At 37.0% G+C, this 6598-nt stretch overlaps 1 long non-coding RNA gene across 10 annotated transcripts in view; it reads left to right on the top strand.

The window, feature by feature from the left end:
• Nucleotides 1-6598, top strand: part of LOC101928669 (uncharacterized) — a 75950-nt gene that overhangs the window by 51647 nt on the left and 17705 nt on the right. For 3 of the 10 annotated variants that reach the window (XR_001756112.2, XR_007068511.1, XR_007068509.1), the window contains one exon: nt 5744-6092. The exons of 5 other annotated variants lie outside the window; for them this stretch is intronic. This is a non-coding gene — a long non-coding RNA (uncharacterized LOC101928669). Of the gene's footprint in view, nt 1-4644; nt 4742-5743; nt 6093-6598 lie in introns of those variants that run through there. 2 more of the 10 variants (XR_001756111.2, XR_001756118.2) reach the window with 1 other exon arrangement.

The raw sequence follows: 6598 nt of genomic DNA, 5'->3' as shown, positions 1-6598 counted from the left end.
GATCATCAAACTGCATGAATAAAATAGTATAGCTTGATAATGAAGTAGGCTGAGAATAATCTAATACAAAACCAATAGCAAATTTTGAAATGCATTTACTTGCAATAAAATGTTATCTGTAATGCAGCAGATTCTTCAAATGTGAACCCTTAAATTACTCAGAATTTTAAGAACAAAGTTAAAGCTACCATGAGTCATAAAAATATATTCTTTACTATCATCATCTTTGCCACAGAATTTTTGTACTTCATTTTACTTTTATTTTTCTGATAATTCATTTTTGTTCCTCCTTAAATGGCACAAAGTTATCTCCTAGTAAAAAGTGTCTAACCCCCTTCCTTCATTATCATTCCCCACAGTATGTCAAAAAAAGTTTCAGAGATATCATATTGAGTTATTTAGGCCAAAGTCAATAAATGGGTCTAGGAATAAGACTTTGAAAGTGATATTACACTCTATATTAGGCATGGTGGCTCATGCCTGTAATCCTAGCACTTTAAAAAGCTGTGGCAGAAAGATCACTTGAGACCAGGAATTTGAGATCAGCCAGAGCAACATAGTGAGACCCCCATCTCTACAAAAAAAAAATTTTTTTAATTACCCGGGCATGGTGGCTCATGCCTGTAGACCCAGCTAGTTGGGATACTGAGGCAAAAGGATGGCTTGTACCCAGAGTTCAGGGCTGCAGTGAATTATTATCGCTGCACTTCTGCCTGGATGACAGACAAAGACCCTATCTCAAAAAACAACACAAAATAATGAAATCTATGATTAAGGATTCTGATGCTATAAGCCTTTCCTTAAACTGCAAATGTTTCATGCTAATTTGAATTGCATTTTAAGAAGTAATGATTCTTGGGGTAAAGACCATAGAATATGGCACCCTGAAATAAATTCACATATTTCCAGCCAACTGATTTTGGACGAACATGCCAAGAACGTACGCTGGGGAAAGGACAGCCTCTTCAAATGAATGACACTGGGAAAACTAAATATCCATATGGAGAAGAATGATATTAGCTTCCTATGTAACACCATATAACAACATAAACTCAGAATCGATTGAAGACTGAAATGTAAGGCCCAAAATTATCAAACTACTCTAAGTAAATATAAGGAAAAGGCTTGAGGACATTAGTCTGCACAAAGATTTTTATGGGTAAGACATCAGAAGCATAGGCAAACAACAAATCATAGACAAAAGACACTACATTAAGCTAAAGAGCTTCTGTCCAGCAAACAACTGAGTGAAGAGAAAACCTGTAGAATAGGAGAAAATATTGTCAAGCTATTCACCTAATGAGGGACTAATATACAAAATATACAAAAAAACTCAAACAACATCACAGTAAAAAAATCTGAGTTTAAAATTGGGCAAAATATCTAACTATACTTTTTTTTAGAAAAAGAAATACAAATAGCCAATAAATAAATTTTAAAATGCTCAGTATCACTAATCCTCAGGGAAATACAAATCAAATCTACAATGTGATATAATCTTGCTTCAATTTGAATAAATTGCTGTCATTGAAAAGACAAAAAAAATAACAAATGCTGGTGAGGCTCCAGAGAACAGTAAACTCTTACATGCTGTTGGTGGGAAGGTAAATTAGTGCAGCCACTATAGAGAACAACAGGAGGTTTTCTCAAAAAAACTAATAATGGGACTGCCGAGGGATCCAGCAACCCCACTACCGGGTATTCAGGCAATAGAAAAGAAAACAATAGATCAAAAGGATATCTGTCCTCATATGTTTACTGTAGCACTATCCACAACAGCTTGTGTATGGAATCAACATACATGTCCATCACCAAATGAATGGATGAAAAACTGTGGCACACAAACACAGTGGAATACTATTCACCATATAAAGGAATTAAATCCTGTTATTCGTGGCCACGTGGATCAGTCTGATGGATGTTAAGTGCAGACACAGAAAGATAAATACTGCACATTCTTACTCATGTGTGGGAGCTAAAGGAAAATTGAAGGCTGGGCAATATGGCTGATGCCTGTAATTTCCTAGCTCTTTGTAAGACCAAGGCAAGAGAATCATTTGAGGCCAAAAGTTCCAGAGCTCCCTGGGAAACATAGGGAGATATCTCTACAAAGTCAAAAATCAGACATGTGCAATGGTGCATGCCCATAATGCCAGCTGCTCAGGAGGCTGAGGTGTGAGGATCAGATGGGCCCAAGAGTTTGAGGCTGCAGTGAACTATGATCAAACCACTGTCTCCAGTCTGGGTGACTACAGTTGCCCAGAGCCCAGACTACACTAGCAAGACCCTGTCTCTTAACAAAAAAAAAGCTCACAGAAGTAGTGGAGGGGAGGCTGGTTAATGGATACAGAATTACAGTTAGATAAGAGGAGTGAGTTCTGGTGTTCTGTGGCATTGTAGGGTGAATATGGTTAACTATGACTTATTGTATATTTTTAAAAAGCCAGAAAATTTTGAATGTTCACAATTCAAAGAAATGAAAAATGGTTGAAGTAGTAAATGTGCTAGTTAGCTTGATCATTACACACTATATACGTGTATAAAAATATCACTCTATAGCCCATAATTATGTATATATGTGTCAATTAAAACAAAAGAGAAGCTACATTCATCCCATTTAAAAAACAGAATATGGGCCAGCCTTACTGACTTCCTTCTAATGAGTAGAATGTAGTGAAAGGGATACCATGTGGCTTCCCTATCTCAGACTGTTTTCCCTTGGAACCCAGCCCCTATTGTGAGAGCCATCAGGCCACAAAGAGAGCCTGAAAGTGCCTGTGTCAGTGTTCATGCTGCCTGTCCCAACCAAGTTTACAGCCGATGGCCAGCATCAACCATCAAACAAGTGGGTGACCAAAGCTTCAGAGGATTCCATTTCCGTAACTGATCAGCTGTTCCTAGGGAAGCTGAAGGGAGCAGAGCAAGCTGTCCTGGCCAAGTTTTTCCCAAACCACAGGTTCATGAATAAAATAAATGTTTTTCTTTCAAGCCACAAGACTCTGGGTAATTGTTAGGAAAATAAGTTTTAAAAAGAGACAACAGGAAACATAACTTATGCAGCAGAAAAGAGTCTCCTTTAAAGCAGGATCTAATAAAGGTTGATATTTATTTATTGATGTCAAACATTATTGAGAAGCAGTAGATAACCAGGAGAGAGACATAAGCTGCTGAGGAGGAATTTTCCTAAAACAACTTCAATAATGAACGCTGATAACAAGGCAAGGGTGTCTTCTTACAATTTCCCCTCAGGTTAGGAAGTAAGACTGGGAAGCAAGAAGATGTATGATTTGAAAAACAACTAGAAATACTGGGTGACATAGGCAAAATCAGACATTTACCTGATTTCAATTAACTAAAATTCTAAAAGAAGAAGTTTTGAGTATTTATTAATCAACCTAGTATTCAATTTTCATTTTCTTTTCTAAATGAGGAAATAAGGAGAATATTATGGAATGATTTTTATTCTTCACAGAAGTAAAATAAGCATAGTGTGTTTTGAGTGTTAAGACACAAATGCAATTTCTCCTTTACCTTACTCCAAGCTTGTTTGTATGGAGAAGTTAAGACCATCCCATCTCTATGTTACGCCACAATGCTTCTCTATAGCACACAACTTGGCTCTGAAATTTTGAAAGTCAAAATACTAATCTACTATGTGTCTCTGATAAATTGCCTGAACCTTACCTGACTTTGAAGTGCTGCACTCCTAAGACTTTTTCTTGGAATGAGTTAAACGTTTTATTCCAAGAATCCTCTACTGAGCTAGAAAGCAGAGCTGTGCATCTCTGTTTCAGTAAAAGGAGGTCAATATAGGGAACTGTGGTTTCTGAGAATGCAAGATCTGCACTAATAAAAGGATTAGCCACAGTGCTACCCAAGAGAACCAGCTACCAGGAGAAAAGAGGGTCTGTAAACTGCAAGATGATGACTTCACTTGATTTCCACTGAGGAAAGCTGGCGGCTCAGACTTAAACTTCTCCTTCCTAGATGGTAAACATCTATGGAAGGTTCTATGAATTATAATGAGTTAGTAAAACATAATGCACTGAATATTAGACTATGTCAGCAGATCCTGTAACCAAAACTTACTGAAAATATAACTATAGTGGGAGGCAATGGAAAAGAGACTAAAGGCTTGAATGGAGAAAAAAAGAAATTAAGTGTGTCTTGTAAGCCTGGCGTCTGATCATGTCTTAGAGGAAGTAAGGTATAAGCTGGCCAGAGACTCCTTTGTGACACAAAAGGTGAAGTTACAGACATTCCACTAAATTTAATTTTTATTATGACATAAGACAACTGGTAATATGCAACATGATTGAAAAAAACTTCTCATTCAATTCGATTGGGCCTTGACATAAGAATAGACATAAACAAGCTAAGAATTGAAAATCTAAAAATAAGCCTGCACTTTTACAGTCAATTGATTTTATACAAGCTTAACAAAAGAACAAAATGGGAAAAGAATAGTCTTTTCAACAAATGGTGCTGGGACAACTGGGTATCCATAAGCAAAAAATAAATAAATTTCGACCAAATATCTTATTTAATAATTAACTCAAAATAAAATAGTTAACTGTAAAAGCTAAAACTATAAAACCCTCAGAAGAAAACACTGGCATAAATCTTTGTGACTGCATTTGCCAGTGTTTTCTTAGCTATGACTCCAAAGGAAAAATGGATTCAATGGACTTCAAAATTGAAAACTGCTGTGCCTCAGAAGACAGCATGAAGAAATGAAAAGGTAAGACGCCAAGTAGAAGAAAGTATTTGAAAAGTGTGTATCTGATAAGGGACTTACATATATAGGAAATATAAATAACTCTTGCAATTAATAAATAACAAGATAAGCCAATTTTAAAAAATGGGCAAAGATTTTGAATAGATATATCTGCAAAGAAGATATAAAGATGGAAAAGCTCATTAATAGATGCTTAATGTAATTAGTCATTAGGAAAATGTAAATCAAAACCACATGTGGTATCACTTCACACCACAGGATAAAATCTTTGTTCAAGAAAAAAGAGTGTTAGGAAAAATGTAAAGAAATTAAAACCCTTATCTAATGCCGCTGGGAATGTAAAGTGATGCAGCCACTTTGGAAAACAAACTGGCAGCTCCTTAAAGGGTTAAGCATGAAGTTACCATATGACACACAAATTCCAGTCATAAGTATATACTCCAGAAAAATAAAAACATACGCAAGCACAAAAACTCATACATAAATGTTTACAACAGCATTATTAATAGTAGTCAAAAGGTGGAAAGAACCAGAACGTCTGTCACCTTTGGCTGGGAGAGAACCCAAAGGTCCATCACCTGGCGAATGGATAAATAAAATGTTTGATGTATCCATACAATGGAATATTACTCAGCAATAAGAAGAAATTAAGTACAGATACCGTATTAGAAGGAGACAGCAAAATGCCTAGGCAGATACGGAAGGGTCCCCGGAGAATCTCCAACGAGCCCCACAAGTGTTTACACCTGATGTTATGTGCAGATAAGGGAACCTGGACTTGTCTTGCCTGGACATGCCCACAGCAGACTGGAGGCCCACATGCAGTGGGGGGATGGGGTGGAGTCACCAGGAATTCACACCTTATGCAGATGAGGAGCCTGGCCGCTTCAGCTCATGTGCTCCTGGTATTCAATTGTGAGGTGGAAACCTCTTTGCAGGACCCCTCTCTTTGCTGAGAGCTGTGCTTTCACATAATAAATTCTGCCCTCCTCAATGTGTCTGCAGGCTTAATTTTTCCTGATCATGAGAGAAGAACACAGATGTAGCTGAACTAAGGAGCAAAAACCCGGCATCAATACCTGCTACAGCACAGACGCAGCATGAAAAATTATGCTAAGTGAAATAAGCCAGTCCCAGCAGACCACTTGCTTTTTATTTCAGAGGCTTATAGGCAAATCTATACAAAGAAGGTGGGTGGTTCCCTAGGGCTGAGGGAGGAAGGGAAAACTAGTGAAGATGGCTAAATGATGTGGGGTTTGTTTTTAGGGTGATGAAAATGTTCTAAAATTAATTGTAATGATGACGGCATAACTCTCGAAAATACTAAAGTTAATGAATTCTATACTTTAAATGAGTGAATTGCATGGCGTGTTCATTATTTCTCAATAAACCTGTTACCCCCCACCCCAAATTAATTTGGTACTAGAGATCTGCAGATAGGTACTGCTTGGTTTCAAATCACTGGCCAGGGTTCAAGGTCTAAGAGAATCAACAACATGTCCTTTTTATAAAAAAATAGATTTATATTTTACAAGCTATCCTTTTCATTAGTATCAAGTCTGTAAAATTCAATGAAAAATCTTTCTTTCACTGCTTAAAGCACTGACAGATTTATATAGAGGAATAAAACCTTGTTTTCCTTGGCCCTAATTTCTATCTAAAGGGTCTGGGAAACACACCCTTCAAACTATCAAATCTCATCAGATGGGTTTTATTAACACTTATAATGTGGCTTCCTTTCTAATCTGATTCTGGTGCAACATCACAGAGAGAAGAAGCTGAAGGAAATCAAAATAATTTACCCCCAAATATATTGTTTGACTTATTTTGAAATGGCTGCTGCAGGGCCAAGAGATTGAA

Source organism: Homo sapiens, assembly GCF_000001405.40.
Source record: "Homo sapiens chromosome 3 unlocalized genomic scaffold, GRCh38.p14 Primary Assembly HSCHR3UN_CTG2".
Classification (NCBI taxonomy): domain Eukaryota; kingdom Metazoa; phylum Chordata; class Mammalia; order Primates; family Hominidae; genus Homo; species Homo sapiens.
The sequence above is the reverse complement of the archived record's forward strand: the minus strand, read 5'-3'. Positions and strand labels throughout refer to the sequence as shown.